Below are 18,909 nucleotides of genomic sequence, written 5' to 3' on the forward strand. Positions count from 1 at the left end.
TCCTGTGTTAGTTTACTAACAATCATGGCCTCCAGCTGCATCCATGTGCCTGCAAAGGACATGATCTCGTTCTTTTTTATGGCTGTGTAGTATTCCATGGTGTATGTGTACCACATTTTCCTTATCCAGTCTATCGCTGATAGGCATTTAGGTTGATTCTGTGTCTTTGCTATTGTGAATAGAGGAACATATGTGTGCATGTGTCTTTATGGTAGAACGATTTGTATTCCTTTGGGTATATACCCAGTAATGGGATTGTTGGGTCAAATGATAGTTCTGTTTTTAGTTATTTGAGGAATTGCCACACTGCTTTCCATGATGATTGAACTAATTTACACTCTGCCAGCACTGTATAAGTGTTCTTTTTTCTCTGCAACCTCACCAGCATCTTTTATTTTTTGCCTTTTTTTTTTTGATATGGAGTTCTGCTCTTGTTGCCGAGGCTGGAGTGCAATGGTGCGATCTTGGCCCACTGCAACCTCTGCCTCCTAGGTTCAAGCAATTCTCTGGCCTTGGCCTCCCAAGTAGCTGGAATTACAGGCACGTGCCACCACGCCCAGCTAATGTTTGTATTTTTTTTAGTAGAGATGGGGTTTCACTATGTTGGCCAGGCTGGTCTCGAACTCCTGACCTCAGGTGATCCACCCACCTCAGCCTCCCAAAGTGCTGGGATTACAGGCATGAGCCACCATGCCCAGCCCTATTTTTTGACTTTTTAATGATAGCCATTCTGACTGGTGTGAGATGGTATCTCACTGTGGTTTGGGTTTAGTTTGCATTTCTCTAATGCTTAGTGATACTGAGCATTTTTTTTCATATGCTTCTTGGCTGCATGTATGTCTTCTTTTAAAAAGCATCTGTTTGTGTCCTTTACCCACTTTTTAATGGGGTTGTTTGTTTTTTGCTTGTAACTTTGAATTCTTTACAGATCCTGGATATTAGACTTTTATCAAATACATAGTTTTTAAAAAATATTTTCTCCCATTCTGTAGGTTGTCTGTTTACTCTGTTAATAGTTTCTTTTGCTATATAGAAGCTCTTTAGTTTAATTAGATCTATTTGTCAACTTTTGTTTTTATTGCAATTCCTTTTGGAATCTTCATCATATGATCTTTATCAGTTCCTGTGTCCAGAATGGTATTTCCTAGGTTATCTTCCAGGGTTTTTATAGTTTCAGGTTTTACATTTAAGGCTTTAATCCAACTTGAGTTGATTTTTGTATATGGTGTAAGGAAGGTGTCCAGTTTCAATCTTCTGCACGCGGCCAGCCAGTTATCCCAGCGCCATTTATTGAATAGGAAGTCTTTTCCCCCATTGCTTGTTTTTGTCAGCTTTGTTGAAGATCAGATGGCTGTAGATGTGTGGCATTATTTCTGGGCTCTCTATTTTGTTCCATTGGTTTATGTGTCTGTTTTTGTACCAGTACCATTGAAAGCCTATCATGTGGTTTTTGTCTTTAGTTTTGTTTATGAGATGAATCACATTTATTGATTTGTGTATATTGAACCAATCTTGCATGCCAGGGATAAAGCTTACTTGATTGTGGTCAATTAGCTTTTTGATGTGCTGCTGGATTTGGTTTGCTGGTTTTTTATTATGGATTTTTGCATTGATGTTCATTGAGGATATTGGCCTGAAGTTTTTTTGTTGTTGTTGTGTCTCTGCCAGGTTTTGGTATCAGGATGATGCTAGCCTCACAGAATGACTTAGGGAGGAGTCCCTCCTTTTCAATTTTTTGGAATAGTTTCTGTGGGAATGGTACCAGGTCTTCTTTGCACATCTAATAGAATTTGGCTGTGAATCTGTCTGGTCCTGGGCTTTTTTGGTTCAGTAGGCTATTTATTACTGATTCAATTTTGGAGTTTGTTGTTGGTCTATTCAGGGATTCACTTTCTTCCTGGTTAAGTCTTCAGAGAGTGTATGTATCCAGGAATTTATCCACTTCCTCTAAATTTTCTAGTTTGTGTGCATAGAGGTGTTCATAACAGTCTCTTATGGTTATTTGTATTTCTGTAGAGTCAGTGGCAATGTCTCCTTTGTCATTTCTAATTGTGTTTATTTGAATCTTTTCTCTTTTCTTCATTATTACAATTAAACTAGTGGTTCATATGTCTTATTAATTTCTTTGAAGAACCAACTCCTGGATTCATTGATCTTTTGAATGGTTTTTCATGTCTCAGTCTCCTTCAGTTCAGCTCTGATTTTGGTTACTTCCTGTATTCTGGTAGCTTTGGAGCTGGTTTGCTTTTGCTTCTCTAGTTTTTTTTTTTTTTTTTTTTTTTTTTTTTTTTTTTTTTTTAGCTGTGATGTTAGATTGTTAACTTGAGATCTTTCTAGCTTTTCGATTTGGGTATATAGTGTTATAAATTTCCCTCTTAACACTGCCTTAGCTGTGTCCCAGAAATTCTGGTATGTTTTACCTTTGTCCTCATTAGTTTCAAAGAACTTCTTAATTTCTGCCTTAATTTCATTATTTACTCAAAAGTCATTCAGGAGCAGGTTGTTTAATTTCCATGTAATTGTATGGTTTTGAGCAATTTTCTTAGTCTTCATTTCTATTTTTATTGTACTGTGGTCTGACAGCATGGTTGGTATGATTTTGAGGTTTTGTTTTGCATTTGCTGAGGATTGTTTTATGTCCAATTTTGTGGCCGATTTTAGAGTATGTGCCATGTGGTTATGAGAAGAATGTATATCTTGTTTTGGGGCAGAGAGTTCTGTAGGTATATATTATGTTCATTTGGTCGAGTGTTGAGTTTAGGTCCTAAATATCTTTTGTTAATTTTCTGCCTTGATGATCTGTATAATACTGTCAGTGGGGTATTAAAGTCTCCACTATTATGTATGGCAGTCTACGTCTCTTTGTAGGTCTCTGAGAGCTTGCTTTATGAATCTGGGTGCTCCTGAGTTTAGTGCATATATATTTAGGATAGTTAGCTCTTCTTGTGGAATTGAACCCCTTACTATTATGTAATCCCTTCTTTGTCTTTTTTGATGTTGGTTTACAGTCTGTTTGGTCTGAAATTAGGATTGCAATCCCTGCCTTTTTTCTGATTTCCATTTGTTGGTAGATTTTTCTCCATCCATTTATTTTGAGCTTATAAGAGTCACTGTATGTGAGATGGATCTCTTGAAGACAGCATACCAATCTCTTGAAGACTTGCTTTTTTATCCAGCTTGCCACTCTGCCTTTTAAGTGAGGGATTTAGCCTATTTACATTCAAGATTAGTATTAATATGTGTGCATTTGATCCTGTCATTGTGTTGTTAGCTGGTTATTATGCAAACCTGTTTGTGTGGTTGCTTTATAATGTCACTGGTCTGTGTACTTAAATGTGTTTTTGCATTGGCTGGTAACAGTCCTTCCTTTCCATAGTTAGTGCTCCTTTCAGGAGGTTTTGTAAGGCAGGTCTGGTGGTAATGAATTCTCTCAGCATTTGCTTGTCTGAAAAGGATCTTATTCCTCCTTTGCTTAGGAAGCTTAGTTTGGCTGGATATGAAATTCTTGGTTGAAGATATTTTTTCTTTTAGAATGTTGAATATAGGCCTCCAATCTCTTCTGGCTTGCAGGGTTTCAACTGAGAGGTCTACTGTTAGCCTGATGGGGTTCCCTTTACAGGTTACCTGCCCTTTCTGTCTGGCTGCCTTTAGCATTCTTTCTTTCATTTTGACTTCCGTAAATCGGATAATTATGTGTCCTGTGGATGATCTTCTAATATCTTGCAGGGGTTCTCTGCATTTCCTGAATTTGAATGTTGTCCTCTCTAGCGAGGGTGGAGAAGCTTTCATGGACAATATACTGAAATAAATTTTCCAAGTTGTTGGCTTTCTCCCTGTCTTATTCGGTGATGCTAGTGATTCATAGATCTGGCCTGTGTACATAATCTCATATTTCTTGGAGGCTTTGTTTATTCTTTTTTCACTCTTTTTGTTTATTTTTGACTATCTTATTTCAGGAGGCCAGTCTTCAAGCTCTGAGATTCTTTCCTCAGCTTTGTCTGTTCTACTGTTAATACTTACAAGTTCATTAGGATATTCTTGTAGTGTGTTTTTCAGCTCTATCAGGTCAGTTAGATTATTTTTTATACTGGTTATTTTATCTGTCAGCTCCTGTATTGTTATATTTTGATTCTTAGATTCATTGGATTAAGTATTAACATTCTCCTGAATCTTGAAGATCTTCATTTCTATCCATATCCTGAATTTTATTTCTGTCATTTCAGCCATTTCAGCCTGATTAAGAGCCTTTGCTAGAGAACTAGTGTGGTCATTTGCAGGACAGAAGACACTCTGGTCATTTGAGTTGCTGGAGTTCTTGTGCTGATCCTTTCTTCTCTGAGTGTGGGTATTCTTTTCAGTTAAAGCATTTTTATGGGAAGTATCTTCTACTCCCTGCCCCTTCATCACCTCCAACTAGGCTTGGTAGATTTAGCAACAACTACTACAACAACAAAACAAATGAGACATACATGAAAAAAAGTCGTTGTTTAACTGAAATTCAAAGTTAATTGGGTGTCCTGTATTTTATCTGGCAACCCTACTGGCAGTACATTTAAATAATTGGCCCTATGCCCAGTGCACTGTAATAAATGGAAAATGACTTTTTGTATACAATGGAGAGGTAGAAAATCATAGAAATACACACGATTAGCTTATCAATTAAGCAAAAAACTTTCTTTTAAGTTTTTATTTGAATTTTCAGAAAGTATGGTTTTGTTAACAAATGTGGAAATATTTTGTTTCCAAAAGAAATTTGTATGTTTATCATAGACATAGAATATGAAATGATAAAAAGCATTTAAACTGACAATCTAGGCAAATTTCAAAAAATTTAAAAACTATTTAAGAAAGTTCATCACTAAAAAGGCATATTTTTGTTTTATTAAGTTATTATTTTTTGAACTACAAGCTAGATGAATAGAGATAAATAAAATTATTTTTCTGCTTAATAAAACTGTAGAAAATTTATCTTACATTTAAAAAATTTTATCATGGCCAGGCATGATGGCTCACACCTGTAATCCCAGTGCTTTGGGAGGCTGAGACAGGCAGATCACAAGGTCAGGAGATCAAGACCATCCTGGCTAACACGGTGAAACCCCGTCTCTACTAAAAATATAAAAAAGTTAGCCCGGCATGGTGGTGGCCACCTGTAGTCCCAGCTACTTGGGAGGCTGAGGCAGGAGAATGGCGTGAACCTGGGAGGCAGAGCTTGCAGTGAGCCAAGATCGTGCCACTGCACCCCAGGCTGGGCAACAGAGTGAGACTCCTTCTCAAAAAAAAAAAGTTTTATCATAAGGGTAAAACAAAATTTAACTAGTTAAAGAACAAATTTTACCCAAAAGTTTTTTAAAAAGACTTAAAGAAATGAATATTAAGGGAAACACAGCAACAAAAGTTGAACATTCATAGAATGTAATAACTTAAAATTAAATTAATAAATATCTGATGATTGTCTATATATTTATACCAATTTTCTTATACTTGCCACTTTATTGAAGGATTAATATTTTAAAATATGATGTAGTCGCTTAAGAAAGTTGAGAAATAGTCTAATTCTTATTATGTCATTATTTCCAAAGAATGATTTTGATACTTTTTAAAGCTTTAGAAACATGAAACTCCTAATAGACATCCTGTTAAAAATTTAACAAATAATTTAAATATAATCACATTTGACATATTATTAAATTGTTATTGACTTCTATTTTGTGTGGTGTGAGGTATCAAAAGGAAAAAAGCCAGCATTATAACATCAAAATATGAATGTTTATGTCTACATTTACTTAATATGCCATGAATTTACAAAGGTGAGGTTAAAATATCATATCTGGCCAAAAAATATAATGAAAGAATCCCGTTATAATAGCATCAAAAAAGAGAATGGTATAGACCAATCTATTTCTGCATCACATCTACAGCTATGCATTCTGATGGTGTGACTTTTTGCACAAAGATTCACAACAGTTACATTTTCATTATTCCAGGCACATATTTGTCTTGTTGGACACATTTTCTTTATTGGATTCCACCTTGCTTGATAGCCAACAGCTAACATTTACTGAGTTCACATTATGTTCTAGGCATGGTTCCAAACCGTGCATTACAATACACAAAGTAGAAAAAGCAGAAAGAGGGAGAGTCATGAATGATGGGAAGATGTATACGTCTATTTCTCATTCAGTTGACAAAGGATTAAAGCAAGCATTTCTTTCACAGTGTAAAGACACTAAGGGTAGAGGTGTCGAGGGTGGAAGAAACCTGAAGGATCATTTAAACTCTTTGAAGCTTTTATAGATGAAGAAAGCTCAGAGGAGTGTTATAGCCTGCCCAATATCATATATGTACTCCCTAGTTCACCAGGACTGAAAACTAGGTGCTTTGACCTTGAATTCCTTGTTTCTTCTACTACACTAAGGGGCTAAGTTAATTATCAAAAATATTATATCTGAAAATGATGCAAAATTTTAAGAATGACTAAAATTCAAGCAACGCTAAATTTTTCTTCATCTGGCAAAACGAACAGTGGTCTGAAATAAAAATTCTGATACATTTAAATTAAATAGTAGAGGGATTTTATTTTTGAAATATTCTAGTATAATTTTGAATTTTAGACTAAAAGAGTGAACTTTATTATAATTTTCAAAACTCTTTTTTAGTCTTCTTAAAATTGCACAACTGGGAACAGTAAGGCAAAATAGTTTATGTAGGCTGAATTCTTCTTACCATGATAGATAACTTGGGGCTTTAAAAGATGATTGCTTAATTTATAAATGCTCTTCACAACATACAGTACTGTCATAAGATGAATTCTGCTTAAACAACCATATTTTATAGTGTCTTATGTCACCACTTCTTTTCTAAATAGTATTTTATAAGTTTATAAAACATTGTATGTTACTAAAGTTACATTTCAAAATCTTACTTTTTCATATTGTTCTTTTCTAGGGAATGATGAATGTATACCCACATGCTGGAAAAGAGAAGGTTTATACTGAATACGTATTTGCTTCTTTCGTTTCATACAGTTTCTCTGGGGAAAAAGAAACAACAATCTTCTGTAAAAACCCAGGTATTGCTTTGTATTGCGTTTACTGATGGTAGAATTTTTATATATTAGTTTTTGCTAGAGTTCTATTTTCATATTTAAAAATATAAACAAAATATTTAATTCTTAGCTTTTTCTTCATAAGAATAGAGCAAAGGAGTTGGGGTAAAAAAGGGTTTTCATTACAACATGTATTTGCATGAACTCTGTCTTAGAAAAGCAGGTTAGTGTTGTACCAATTATATTTCCTCTCTTTCTTTTAATTACAATAACTCAAATAAAATGCTTGTTATTTTTCTATCCATATCTGTCAGACTACAGCATTCTTTCACTTCCTATATTCATTGACTAATTTCTTTATTGAATTATATCACCTCAATTTCTTCTTAGAGAGTAAAAAATATAATATTAAAACAAAGAACCAATTTATAGTCAATGAAAAAGAATCTGGATAATTTTCTCAAAAAAAAAAAAAAAAAAGAAGGATGACCTATGGCACCACTCCTATTAAAAACAAACATTTGAAGGCCAGGCACAGTGGCTTATGCCTGTAATCTCAGCACTTTGAGAGGTGAGGTGGGAGGATTGCTCAGGAGTTTGAGACCACCTTGGGCAATATAGTGAGACTCCATTTTTAAAAAACAAAAACAAAAACAAAACAAACAATAAAAACCCCACAAACATTTGAAATAATGATGATCACTGAGAATTATTTTATATATTTTTATACATAGAAGATTCAGAAAAATAAATCTAAAATGTATATATATAGTAATTTTTTACATAACACATTTATTTAGATGCATTTCTACCCAGTACTAATACATAGGAAATATTAACAGTTTCTCTTTTAACTGTAAAGTAATTTAATGGTCTAGAGTTAATTTAATTTGAAACTAAATTAGCATCAGATAAAATTGGTTGAGGAGTTACAGTTTAGCATATAAAATAATGGCTTTGCAAATACACCCTCAAAACAACCTGTTGATAAAGCTGAGCTTATTTCATATTGCTGTAAGGACAATCACTACTTTTATGGAGTCTGGATAGTGTCTGTTCAAATCTTTTGCCCTTTTAAAAATTGAGTTGCTTACCTGTTTTGAGAGTTCTATACATATACTGAATACATGTCCTTTGTTGGATATGGAATTTACAAATATTTTCTCCTAGTCTGTGGTGTCTTATCCTCTTAACAGTACCTTTTGCAGCACAAAAATTTTTAATTTTGATGAGGTCCAATTTATCAATTTTTAAAAATGCTTTTAGTGTCATTTAAAAAAATTTCACCCAGCCCTAGGTCCTGAACATTTTTTCTATATTTTCTTCCAAGAGTTTTAGTGTTTAGATAGATGATTTTTTGTGTTTAGATAGATGATTTATTTTGAAATAATGTTTGTATAAAGTGTGAGGTTTAGGTCGCATTATGGTTGAGAGATATGGCACCAATTGATCCAGTAAACATTTGTGATAAGATTATTCTTTCTCCATTGAATTGCATACACTTTGTAAAATATCAGTTCGTTATATTTTGTGGGCCTATTTCTGGACTGCCTATTCTGCTCCATGGAACTTTATGCTTATCCTTTTGCCAATAAAGGTGGCTTGTCTTGATTACTGTAGCTTTGTAGTAAGCTTTCAGATTGAATAATGTGATTTTCCCAACTTTATTCTTCTTTTTCAAAACTATTTTAGTAGATCTATTTCGTTTGTCTTCTCTTAAAAATTCTAGAATCAGCTTTGGTAGAATATCTACCAAAAAATTCCTGCTGAGATTTTGATTAGAATTGTGTTACATCCATAGACCAATTAGGGTAACATTCATACCTTTACTAGGTTGAGCTTCCCAATCTATGATCATGGTATGTCTCTCTGTTCTTTTTATTAGCATTTTAAGGTGTCCAGCATATAGACAATATACATATTTTGTTAAATGTATACACATATAGATATATAAATATTTTATATATAATGTTTTTTAAATATTGTAAGTAATTTTAAAATGTTGGTGAGATGGTTTGTCTCTGTGTCCCCACCCAAATTTCATGTCAAATTGTAATTCTTACATTTCAGGGGAGGGAGTTGGTGAGAGGTGATTGGATCATGGGGTAAATTTCCCCCATGCTGTTCTCATGAAAGTGAGTGAGTTCTCATGAGATCTAATGGTTTTATGTGTGGCAATTACCCCCTGGCTTTCTCTCTCCTGCTGCCATGTAAGATGTCCCTTGCCTCCTCTTCACCTTCTGTCATGATTGTAAGTTTTCTGAGGCCTCCCTAGCCATGCAGAACTGTGAATCAATTAAGCCTCTTTTCTTTATAAATTACCCAGTCTCAGGTAGTTACTTATAGCAGTGTGAAAATGGACTAATACATTTGGTTTTCAACTTTTCATTGCTATTTTGCAGAAAAATGATGGAGTTTTGTGTGTATAGACCTTGTATCTTGCAACTTTGCTCAAACCCATTTATCAGTTCTAGGATGTATGTGTGTGTGTGTGTGTGTGTGTGTGTTTATTCTTTGTGATTTTCTACATAGACAATCATGGCATTTGCTTTTCAATTCACGTGCCTTTGTTTTTCCCTTTATTGCACTGGTTTGAACTTCCAGTAAAATGTTGAATAGGAGTGGTGAGGATGGACATGGTTATTTTTTTCTTAATCTTAGAGAGAAAGCATCCAGTTTTCAACAATTAAACATGAAGTTGGCTATGGGATTTCTCTAGATGCTCTTTAACATGTCAGAGACATTTCTTTCTATTCCTAATTGGCTGGGAGGTTTTATTACGTATGAATTTTGAATTTTGTCAAATGATTTTTCTGCATCAGTTGATATTAACATGTGGCTTTTCTTCTTCAGAATCTTAAATTGGTGGGTTACACTGTATGATTTTCAAACAAACCAGTTTTGTATTCATAGGATAAATACCAATTAGTATGGTGTATTTTTCTTTTTACATATTGCTGGATTCAATTTACTATTACTGGGAAGATTTTTCTGTCTATATACTTGGGGGATATGTGGCCTTGGTTTCCCTTTTTGCTCTGTTTTTGTCTGGTTTTCATGTCATGATAATGCCAGCTTCATGAAAAGAATTGGGATGTACCCTTTCCTCTTCTATTTTGGAGAAGGTATTATATACAATTGTTATTATTTCATCTCTGTTTAGTAGAATGCACCTTTAAACCCTTTGGACATGGAAATTTCCTTTTCAGGATTTAAAAATAATAATTTAATTTCTTTAGTAGATATAGGACTACTCAGATTACCAATTTCATTTTGGATGAGTTTTGATAGCTTACAATTTTTGGTGGATTTCATTTTTAAGTTGCTCTTTTATATGCATGGAAGTGCCTGCAGTATTCCCTTATGGAAAATCCTTTTAGTATCTGTGGAGTATGCTGTGGAACTCCCACTTTCTTACTAATGTTGATAACCTGTATTTTTTGTCACTCTTATTAGAAACTTAGCAGTTTTATTGCTCTTTTTAAAAAATTACCTTTTGGTTTTATTGGTTTTCTCTATTATTTTTATGCTTTTAATTTTGCTGTTTTCTTTTACTATTATTATTTTCTTCCCTCTCTTCCTTTGCTTTTTATTTTGCCCTTCTTTTTTCTAGTTTGTTAATGTAGAAGTGGAGATTATGAATATGAGATCTTTCTTCTCTTCTAAGATATAGATTTAAGTCTATAAGCTTTCTCTCTAAGCAGTGCTTTAGCTGCATTCCAGAAGCGTTGTAACACTGTATTTTCATTCATTTCAAAGAGTTGTCTAATTTCCTTTGAAACTTCTTCCTTCACCTAGGGTTTATTGAGAAGTGTTTAATTGCCAAGTGCTTGAGATTTTTCAGTTATCTTTATGTTGTTGATTTCTAATTTGATTCTATTGTGGTACAAGAACATACATTAAAAATCATTTCAGTTTAAATTTGTTAAGCTTTGTTTTATGATCCAAGATGTGGCTATTTTGGTGAATGTTGTATCTGTTTTTTGAGAATGTATTTTCTACTGTTATTGGATGTAGTGGTTTTTAAATGTCAATTAAATCCAGTTGGCAGATGGTGTTGTTCAGTTCTTTTGTCTCCTTGCTGGGTTTCTGCCTATCAGTTCTGTTGATCACTGAGAGAGAGGACAGTTGAAATCTCCAACTGTAATTGTAGATCGGTCTATTTTTTCTTTTAGTTCTGTCAGTTTTTGCTTCATGTATTTCAAGACTCTGTTGTCTTCTTGGTAAATTAACCCTTTTATTATATATAACATCTTTCTTGATCCCTAGACTGTTTTTTTCTTTGCTTTTAAGTGTATTCTGATATTAATATAGCTACTACAAGCTGGGCATTGTGGCTTATGCCTGTAATCTCAACACTTTTGGAGGGCAACGTGGGCTGATGGCTTGAGCCTAGGAGCTTTAGACCAGCCTGGGCAACATGGCAAAAACCTGTCTCTGCATAAAATACAAAAATTAGCTGGGCATGGTGGCGTGCACCTATAGTCCCAGTTACTGAGGAGGCTGAGGTGGGAGGATCACCTGAGCCCAGGGAGGTTGAGGCTGCAGTGAGCTGTGATTGTGCCACTGCAATCCAGCCTGGGCTACAGAATGAGTCTCAATAAATAAATAAATAGCTACTACTGCAAATCTCCTTTGATTTGTGTTTGTATGGTATATATTTTTTTCATCCACAAGTTTTAACCTATCTATAATATTTGAACTGAGTATTGACTTCAGTAGTTGCATCATTTGAAAAATCTACCCTGATGAACTCTTAATAGTGTATTTTAATCATTTATATTTAATGTAAGTATTGGCATGTTTGAATTTACGTCTATCATTTTTTTTTCTATTTGTTCACTCTGTTTTTGTCCCTCTGTTTCTACTTTTCACTGCATTTTAGGGGTCTCTCATTACTTCATTTAATAGGTAGAAAGATCAAAATTTGGGATATTAGAAATTTTAAAAATTGGTGCATTTATCAGATTTGGTTTGGTAAACAAATTTTAGGTAATTACGTTGGATAGATAATATTTTTCCTAAAATATTTGGTATTCATAAAGTAAATACTCACAAGATCTTCTCCTGCGTCACACACCTTTACCTGAAAAATGTCATTCAAGAGCCAGTCTATGGGTTTCTCTTTGTAGAACATTAAAAAAAACCGTACAAAGTGAGTTAAGTCCTCAGATCTAAACAGCTTTCCTATGGAAAAAAATACAATTAGATGCAAATAATTCATATGTAGTTGTTCATTCCTTTAACATGGGAAAAAGCAAAAGTTATTAAAATTTAAATATGTCCCATTCCTTAGAAATAAAGATTAAAGCACTGCTGAAGTTAGACAATGATAAAATTAAACACTATATCTGCTTAAGTATTAAGGATTACCACATCTGAAGGAGAATATAAGCAGGTTTAGAATAGTCAATACTCTCAGGAAATCAATTGTGATAACTCATGAGGATTGATTGTCTAAATCAAGTGAAAGACAAGTGAATAGAATGAAATATATAGGCGTTGTAATCTTTTACTTAATTTTGTACAAACTGTATTTTTTACCTGATTTTTGTAGCACTTTATCAATCTACTACATTTTTCGTTGTTAGTACTTAATTTTATTAAAGTACTCTCATTTCAGTATTTGAGCATTATTTTAACAGGATGTTATTTTTCTTTTATATTTGTTATTCTTAAAGATTTACTATATTTTTAAATATTATTCCATTAGGTCTAATAGTTTTTTTCTTATATACTGCATCTTTAATTTTAAAATGAAGTTGAAGGGATAAGATTCAGGTACATATTCACTTCAAAGTAAATAATGTAAAATACATCTAATGATTTGATAAATATGAAAGTCGGATGTAAGCATGCTTCATTCTTCACTAGAACTTAAGTTTATATGAGTCACTTAATAAAATGTATAATTGTATTTTAATTTTTTAATTTTTTGCACCTATTTATGTAGTAACCAAAGCAAGTGATTTAATGATGTATAAAATAGCTGATTCAATTCCTAACCTGCTGTCACCATGCTGTAAAATTCTAGTTGGCAAGCTCATATTTTTAGCAAATAATGAATAACCGAATTGCTATTATGATAACTAAAAGAAAAACTTTTGTAAGTTAAAACTTGAATAAGATTTGGCATCCCATAAATAGTGCTCCTTGTTCAATGTGCTCTTGTGATCAGAATGTAAGCATTCTCTATGTGTCTCTTACTTGACTTTGCTGAGAAAGATAAATTTTTTTGAGAATTTTAAATTCTCAGACTAATCCATCAGCAAGATTACTTTGTCTGCATGCCTTACTTTGGGTATTACTGTTAACAATAATTTTCCTTCTTATTTTAACCAAGGCTGAGGAAAAACCTTTGGGCCCTTAAAATTTTACAGAAAACATGAAAAACAAAAGTCATCGAGTGAGTATATGAAAAACAGATGGATCTCACTAGCAATCCCAGAAATGCTTTATACTGAGAATGGCAAATATATACATATAATAATAGATAAAACCAAGTGTTGTCAAGCATATGGGGAAGCACGAACTTTTACGCACTGCTTATGAGAGCGTAAACCGTATAACCAATCTGTAAAGCAATTGGCAGTACTTAGAGCTATGTGAATCCTCAGTGGTCCACTCTAGGGGACATATATGTCACTTCATTTTTTCATGGCAGCAGAAAATTGGAAGCAATTAAGGTCTGCCACTCAGGAAATAGATAAGCCAAATGTGAGTGATAAGTGATAAGTCATCACTTCTTTCAAAGTCTTTTGGTGATGGGTCACTGTGCATCCAGATTTAGTTCACTTGTAGACAGCAAAACGTGTGGTTGCCTTGCCTTGCCTTCTGATGATAAATCCACATGACATTTAACAAAAGTAGGTAATCAAAAGAAAGAACTGGATGACAGATGAAAGCACAGACAGTGAATGCTGGAAGTGAATTTGGATGTGACTATAAGACAGCTGATCATGGGATTGTTGACGTAAAAAAATTAAAAGCAGGTTACAGTTTTATATGCATGATCTCTATGTGCAAAACAGGTAGTCCTCACTTTGCACAATTCTGAATGCATAAATTTCAGTGACCATCATTATGCAGCACTTATGTAGCAGTAAAAAACCAATAAACTAAATGAACATAAAACAACATGCTGATAATTTAGAAATCAAGTTTTGAGGACAAAAATGTAAGGAATAGGAATATACAAACATGAAAAGCACCAAATATTTCACATGGATATTGTATATTTATAAGTGTATTTTGAACATATTAGAGTGAACAATATATTGAAGAGTGGCAGGAAGAGGGTGTAGGGATTGGGAATAAAAGGAAAGAATACATAAGGAAGAGCTCCTGTATGAATCAATAATGTCATGCACCATAATATAAGCAGTATGGTAATACTTGAGGTTCAAAGGAAAGAAAAAAGCATGGAAGTGAAGAAAGAAAAATTGAAGGATTTAAAAGGAAAATCTAAGGAAGGGTAGTAAAAAAGATCTCATAATGGGTATAGTATTTGGAAATTTTCTGTGGTGGGTATAATTTTTATTATGTTTTTATATTTTTTAAGACTGTCAGCTTTAGCATACTGGAAATTGCAGCGACTGAGTTAAAGTCCCTTTCTCTACAATTTTAATTATCTGAGTTTCAGTATTCTTGTAAAGCAGAGAAAAGTACATCTTAGCTACTCAGCTAACATGTGTGCCAGACTCACAGCAAGCATTTAATAAATGGTAACTCTTTTATGTTTCTATGACTTATGTGTCTAAATGTCAATTTGATCTCTCTAGAAAAAAGTTTGGTTAAGAAAATACATTATCTGGAATTTAGGTACTTGCATCTGATTATACTGTTAAGATAATAGTGTCTTTATAAAAATCATGCCATTCTTTTTCATTTAGTAATAAACAAACTGATAAACTGTTTAAAATGTTTTAAATTATTGTGTGCTAAAAAACTTGATCCAACAAAGTAAATCCATTGCTTACCTATGAATCCAAGCATTGAAAACTCAATAAAAAACCAATTATTTGAACTGATATTACCTACAAAATCTGTTATTTTTGTAAAGTACATCTCTTTAGCTATGATATCATCTTCTAGCTGAAAAAAAAAACCCAAAAAGACATTAATATCTTTGACGCTTCCATTGAGTAAAGCTATATTAGCTTGAAAATAAAAAATACAACTGAATATACTGAAGAAAATGGTTTTATAAAATAATAATTTTATTTCAGTTTCAATTAATTGAAGGTATTTACAGTTAGTTGATTTCCTTTTTTTTTTTTTTTTTTTTTTTGAGACAGGGTCTCACTCTGTTACCCAGGCTGGAGTGCAGTTGCGTGACTGCAGGCACGTGCCACCATGTCTGGCTAATTTTTACATTATTTGTAGAGATAGGGTTTTACCATGCTGCCCAGGCTGGTTTCGAATTCCTGGGCTCAAGCGATCCTCCTGCCTTGGCCTCCCAACTCCTGGGCTCAAGTGAGCCTCCCGCCTTGGCCTCCCAAAGTGCCGAGATTACAGGTATGAGACACCACACCCTGCTCCATGTTTGATTCTGAGATTAACCAGACAAGAGAGTATCTGTTTCTTTCCTAAATACTAAACATTCCATCTAAATCCCTCTTTGAAAGAGTCTCTTTATCTAAATCCACTTTCATCCTCACAAATACTTCAGTTTCTAGTTTAAGACTGTCTTAGTCCATTTGAGCTGTTATAACAAAATACCATAGAATGGGTAGTTTATAAACAACAAACATTTATATTTCATAGTCCTGGAGCCTGGGAAGGCCAAGAACAAGGTGCTAGCAGGCTTATGTCTGCTGAAGGCCTATTCCTCATAGATGATGTCTTCCACTGTGTCCTCACAGTAAAAGGGGCTAGCTAGCTCTCTGAGGTATCTTTTATAAGGGCACGAATCCCATTTATGAGGCTCTGCCTGCATAATCTAATTGTCTCCCACAGGCTCCACCTCCAAATACTATCACCTTGGGGGTGAGAATTTTAACATATTAATTTTGGGAGGGAGGCCAGGAGCCGTGGCTCACGCCTATAGTCCAAGCACTTTGGGAGGATGAGGCAGGCAGATTGCTTGAGCCCAGGAGTTTGAGACCAGCCTGGGCAACATGGCCAAACCCTGCCTATATAAAAACTACAAAAAATTAGTCGGGTGTTGTGGTGTGCACCTGTAGTCCCAGCTACTTGAGGCTTCAGTGAGCCGCGATTGTGCCACTGCACTCCAACCTGGGCGATAGAGCAAGACATTGTCTCAAAAACAAAACAAAACAAACAAAAAAACAAAAACAAAACTTTGGGAGGCTTTGGGAGAGATGCAAACATTCAGACCATAGCTAAGACTAAGTAGCTTTATGCTTGTGATGAAAGGTGCCACGTTCTATCTCCAGATAGTTCCCAGCAAAGAGAAGCCAAAAAGCAACCAGCACTCTCATCCACAACTCCACAACTAGCTGGTTAGAATAATGGTGTAAGCCTAAAAATATCCTCCATAAGAGAGACAGGGCAATGGAAATGAGTTTTCTTTTTTATTTAATATATATTATGCATAATCTGTAGACTAAGAGGGCCTCATAAGTAATCAAGAAAAATGTGGCAGTCCTCAGGCACACTATGAGGACACAGAATAGAACTGTGGTGTTTCAAATTGGGAAGAGTACATTGGCTGGATCTTGTGTTTTCATGACATTGCCACTAACTAGGAATCAAAAGAGACCTTTTTTTTCTTCCAATGAAAGAGAAGACCTTGCTTTAGGCCTTTCTCTAACTTTCTCTCTAGTCTACAACTCTCTTCTGCAAATTCTTTGAATGAGAGCACATTGTCTATGTAGTGTGGTCCATACTTACTATTTAGAAACACAACATTATTATTTAACAATGTGGAGAGATTTATAGGGTACAAACTATATATAAGTTATTTACTTTTACAAATACAGTAAGGCACTGAGAACTGTGTTACTCATAAAGTATTATGAGTAAATTTAGGGTAGCAATGATAAGTGTATACAATGTCTGACAAATGCTTAAAATGCATTTGCTTAATCTAATAAAATTGTAAGCCAAGAAATAAATATAGGCATACAATTTCGTTTTTTTGAGATTTTCTTTTCAGTTTGCTTCAGGTAACTATAATTTTCTCTGTAACAGTGAACCTAGTAAGAATATTCATATATAATCAATTTTAAACTTCCTTTGGCATTTTAATACAGTGAGTATTTTCTATTTTCTGAATATAAAGTAAGGTGGAGGAATACAATGAGGAAGAAGAAATTATAGGAAGGAGGGAGAAAGTAACACTTTCAATTTAAATTATATCTATCTACAGATATAATTGGTGTATACACACACACACACACACACACACACACACACACACACAATTTCTGACCTGTAAATAATACTTGGCCTTGGGTTGGGCATACAGCAACAAAATGCAAAAATCCAATACCTGTTTGATTCGCCAACTAAAGGTAATCAATAAGATCTGTTAATATTTGTCATTATTAATTTTTATTTATAAGCATACTTTAGTAATTAAAAAACTCTTTGGCAGTTTACTAACAGTACTAGCTACAATTAAGTAACTAATTTTACTTAATTAATTTCAATTAAGTAAAATTGAATATCTTATACTAAAAAGTTTTCCATCTTTATTCAATGAACAGTGTCTACCATTGCTAAACCAGGATAAGCACAACCCATTTGTTTTACATTTCTATCTAGATAAGTTTTGATCTAGATAATAGTGTTAATATTCTTTCTGATTTTAGGTCTTGTTCAAATGAAAGTATAAAGAAACTTTATTCTTTTTTCAATGTCTCTACTAACAGCTTTCTTTATTGATTCTATCATCCAAGAGTTTTCTCCCCAATTCTTAGGGTTAACTATCTGCTACAGAGTATTAATATTTCTTTTTACGGGTCTTTAAACCATTTCCCCTAAGTCTTACCCCTTGGTTTACTTGGAAAGGAAAGGTGGCTTTTTTTGTTTTTATTTTGAAAGTAGTCTCCACAAGCTCTGGAACTCTTCATGGTCCTCTTGAAGAAACCCAATGTTAACTCCCTTCACAAAGTGACTTTATGTTTGGCCTCTGATGAAATGCGTGAGCACACATTGCCCCAACTCTCCCAATCCTAGGGAATGGAGTAATTGTATGAATTACTACTCTCCAGCGGATTGATTGTGGCCAAATTTGGGGCAATTTGAACTCTAGGGAGTCAAAAATTTTGAATGATAACTGAAAAGAATTAAGGAGAGAATTATAGCAAAAAAATGGCGGATAGGAGACAGGACTAATGCGCAGCTCCTGCTTGGCCAGGCAGAACAGTGCCTGGAGACTCACATTGTGAACGTTTGCTTCAAGAAACACTGCAGCAACATACCAGGAAAACCTAAAGAATTCACAAACCCTTTGAAAGAACTGGCTTGCCACTGCAACCTCTGTGAGATGGCTGAAAAACTGCGAGTTCCCAAAGTGTAAGGGGGGAAAAGTTGGCCTCCATACACACATCCCCACTGAGGAACCTGAAAATCCAGAACACGAGAGAAGGATTTAGCCTTACCTAGAGCTGAAATGGATTTAGGAAGCCAAGAGAAATATAAAAGTAGACGAAGCAGTGGGAAGAGCCCTGTAGGCACTCCTGGTCCCCAACCCCAGCCCAGGGACGTCATTCCTGGCCTTATCTCACAGAGTTCTTTGGGGAAGGGAAGGCAGCCAGTGGAACTGGGGAGGGGTCACAGGGTGAAGGAAACTCCTAGCTGAACTTTGTAATAATTTTGACTGAGCACAAATTTTCTTGAGCATAATCTGGGGGCAGGGTGAATGGGAAATGCAGATATGAGCACAGAAGCCA

General features: G+C 34.3%; 1 protein-coding gene across 16 annotated transcripts in view; it reads right to left on the reverse strand.

The window, feature by feature from the left end:
• The window catches only part of MGAT4D (MGAT4 family member D), a 56,032-nt gene that overhangs the window by 2,223 nt on the left and 34,900 nt on the right, over nucleotides 1-18,909 (reverse strand). For 10 of the 16 annotated variants that reach the window (XM_011531665.4, XM_011531658.4, XM_011531656.4 and 7 more), the window contains 4 exons: nucleotides 17,445-17,520; nucleotides 15,028-15,142; nucleotides 12,105-12,235; nucleotides 6,926-7,033 (listed from right to left, as the gene is read on the reverse strand). In XM_011531665.4, the coding sequence (XP_011529967.1) occupies nucleotides 6,926-7,033; nucleotides 12,105-12,235; nucleotides 15,028-15,142; nucleotides 17,445-17,520 (430 nt within the window). Of the gene's footprint in view, nucleotides 1-6,925; nucleotides 7,034-12,104; nucleotides 12,236-15,027; nucleotides 15,143-17,444; nucleotides 17,521-18,005; nucleotides 18,190-18,909 lie in introns of those variants that run through there. The other 6 variants (XM_011531654.4, XM_011531650.4, XR_938697.3 and 3 more) reach the window with 6 other exon arrangements.

The sequence above is a fragment of the Homo sapiens genome, chromosome 4 (assembly GCF_000001405.40).
Source record: "Homo sapiens chromosome 4, GRCh38.p14 Primary Assembly".
NCBI lineage: Eukaryota > Metazoa > Chordata > Mammalia > Primates > Hominidae > Homo > Homo sapiens.